Source organism: Homo sapiens, chromosome 7 (assembly GCF_000001405.40).
Source record: "Homo sapiens chromosome 7, GRCh38.p14 Primary Assembly".
In the NCBI taxonomy this organism is placed as follows: domain Eukaryota; kingdom Metazoa; phylum Chordata; class Mammalia; order Primates; family Hominidae; genus Homo; species Homo sapiens.
In genome coordinates this window covers 82,504,120-82,506,779 of record NC_000007.14, presented here as the reverse complement: position 1 = coordinate 82,506,779, position 2,660 = coordinate 82,504,120, and the positions used below count along the sequence as shown (strand labels likewise).

The 2,660-nt window shown below is 38.6% G+C and overlaps 2 annotated features.

Annotated features, from left to right (window-relative positions):
* Positions 1-404: part of an enhancer, noted in NCBI's record as "H3K4me1 hESC enhancer chr7:82135692-82136192 (GRCh37/hg19 assembly coordinates)", that runs on past the window's edge. NCBI's record gives its function as "activates a minimal SCP1, AML or CMV promoter by ChIP-STARR-seq in primed H9 embryonic stem cells {active_cell/tissue: H9 hESC(primed)}" and the evidence as "EXISTENCE:reporter gene assay evidence [ECO:0000049][PMID:30033119]".
* Positions 1,638-2,218: an enhancer, noted in NCBI's record as "OCT4-NANOG-H3K4me1 hESC enhancer chr7:82133878-82134458 (GRCh37/hg19 assembly coordinates)". NCBI's record gives its function as "activates a minimal SCP1, AML or CMV promoter by ChIP-STARR-seq in naive H9 embryonic stem cells {active_cell/tissue: H9 hESC(naive)}" and the evidence as "EXISTENCE:reporter gene assay evidence [ECO:0000049][PMID:30033119]".

Below are 2,660 nucleotides of genomic sequence, written 5' to 3'. Positions count from 1 at the left end.
GCTGGCCCGAGCAAAACTCAGTCAAAGGCGCCACCAGCCACAGGTTTCCAGCCAGAAAAGCGACACCCCAGAGATCCCCATAACAGTATCTCAATAAATTTTAGAGAAATAGAAAAAGCAACTAGAATGAGAATAAAGCTGTAATTGATTTTTTAAAAAACAGTCATTTGTATTTGCTTATATTTACTGGGAAATGGAAGTGTTTGGTAGTTTGTGGGTGACACAGTGACCTTTTTGTCTATTTAGATAAAATTGTGAAGAGGCCTTGTTTTGCCACACTTTATCATGGTCTCAGAGTAAACTTCTTTGATGTTGATAATCTGAGAATGTTTACATTCAACAGAACAGCAGCACAGCCTAGCTGTGAGCACCAGGTCAGCTTCTGACAAGAGTTCTTGTGAGTGGCACGCTGGTTTCAGGACGTCAAGGGTTGCTTTTTGCTTTCCCAATTGTGTGTGTGTGTTTTTAAATCAAGACTCAAAATATAGTAATCAGTGAGTTATTTTTAAATTCAATAGTAAATGTTAAAGCAGAATATAGTCTGAAAAATGGTAGCTGAGTCTGGGACAAATATTTTCAGGAAAATAAACATCATTCACACTCACGCATTCATTTGACAAATATATTGAAGGTCTAGTAAATATAGAATTCTATAAGTAGCCCTGAGGGAAATATAGAGATGAGTAAAGGATAGTGATTGTCTTTAAAAAACATACACTTTGGTCATACATATGATAGATATTTCCAACTTCCACCATTTATTATAAATAATGACTATCAGCATATTTATTAACTAATTCTTCGTTTAAAGTTGAATTCTAGGGCTGAGCACAGTGGCCCATGCCTAATCTCAGTGCTTTGGGAGGCCGAGGCAGGCAGATCACTTGAGTCCAAGAGTTCAAGACCAGCCTGGGCAACACGGTGAAACCCCATCTCTACAAAAATTTAGCTAGGTATGGTGGTGTGTGCCTGTTGTCCTAGCTCTCCAGGAGGCTGAGATGGGAGGATCACCTAAGCCCAGGAGGTCAAGACTGCAGTGAGCTGTGAGCCCACCTCTGCACTCCAACCTGGGCAATGGAGTGAGACCCTGTCAAAATAAAAAAATGCTGAATTATAAATAACCACGTGGTAACCTAACCTTGAGAACATTGTCAGAGAAGCTTTGAGGAATTTTTTAGCTTCATATATACATATTGTGAAATTCAAATACTTATTTCCCATAGACTCTTAAGGCTGCTATACAGAGTTGCCAGTAGAAATAAATATATGGCTGAATCTAACCGAAGAAGTCAGGGTTAAATAAAACATTACTAGTAGCTACTCCCCATAAGTATTACCCAGCCATGTAGGCGTTAGCAATGGTGTGCATTTACATTGATTGATGGATGGTATAAAACCAGAATTGTGCCATGCAATCTTGGAAATTCATGTATAAAATAAATATGTCTTGGTAAATTTTTCCCCATTAAGTCATATCAAGATGTGATGGTTGGGCCGGGCGCGGTGGCTCACGCCTGTATTCCCAGCACTTTGGGAGGCCGAGGTGGGCGGATCACGAGGTCAGGAGATCGAGACCATCCTGGCTAACACGGTGAAACCCCGTCTCCACTAAAAATACAAAAAATTAGCAGGGCGTGGTGGCAGGCACCTGTAGTCCCAGCTACTGGGGAGGCTGAGGCAGGAGAATGGCAAGAACCCGAGAGGCAGAGCTTGCAGTGAGCCAAGATTGTGCCACTGAACTCCAGCCTGGGAGACAGCGAGACTCTGTCTCAAAAAAAAAAAAAAAAAAAAGATGTGATGGTTGGAACCACTGTTCTTTTTGCTATTGTCATCAGCCTTTTATATTCAATAAATACGATCCTCCTCTGAAAGGAAATCATTCCCAGGAAAAACACACCATTTAAATGTATTGTTAACAGAAGTAATTGTTATGCAGAAAAATAGCCATTTGCATCACAAGCACATTCTCCTTATTAGTTGCTCCATGGAGGTACAGTTCACTCAGTAAATTTTCCGTAAGCTCGAAAAATTCCAATTAACCTGAATAAGTTAAAGAGTTCTTTCTGGTTTATGGTCATTCTGTTTCCAATAGTCAGGGCATTAAACTTCCTGAAGTTTACCTTAATTTAGCCTTCATGCCTTTCGTTCATTTTCCAATTGTTTCGTTTTGTTTATACTGTTGAATCTTCAGAGTTTCATATTATTCTAGGTACCTATACTAGTTTCAGTCATCATATTGTTGAGTACTTTCACAGTCCTGCCCTCTTTGTATACTCCTTCCTGGAGAGTGATGATAGGAATGTTAGCTCTTTTATTATTGTCCCACAGGTCTCTGCAGTCTTGTCAATTTTTAAAAAATCTATTTTCTCTCTGTTGTTTCCATTCTGCTGTTGATTCTGCTCACTGAGTTTTTATTGCAGTTATTGCATGCTTGAGTTCTGGAATTTCCCTTTGGTTCTTTTTTTTTCATTGTATTTTGTTGCCGTCATATTCTATTTCTTTTCTGAGACTTCCTATTTTCATTTGGTTCAAGCATATTTGTAATGCTTGTTAAAACATGTTTTAAATTTCTGCTTTAAAATATTGGTCAGATATTCCTAACATGTTTGTCATCTCAATGTTTGTATGTATTGATTTTTCCTTTTTATTCAAATTGTGGT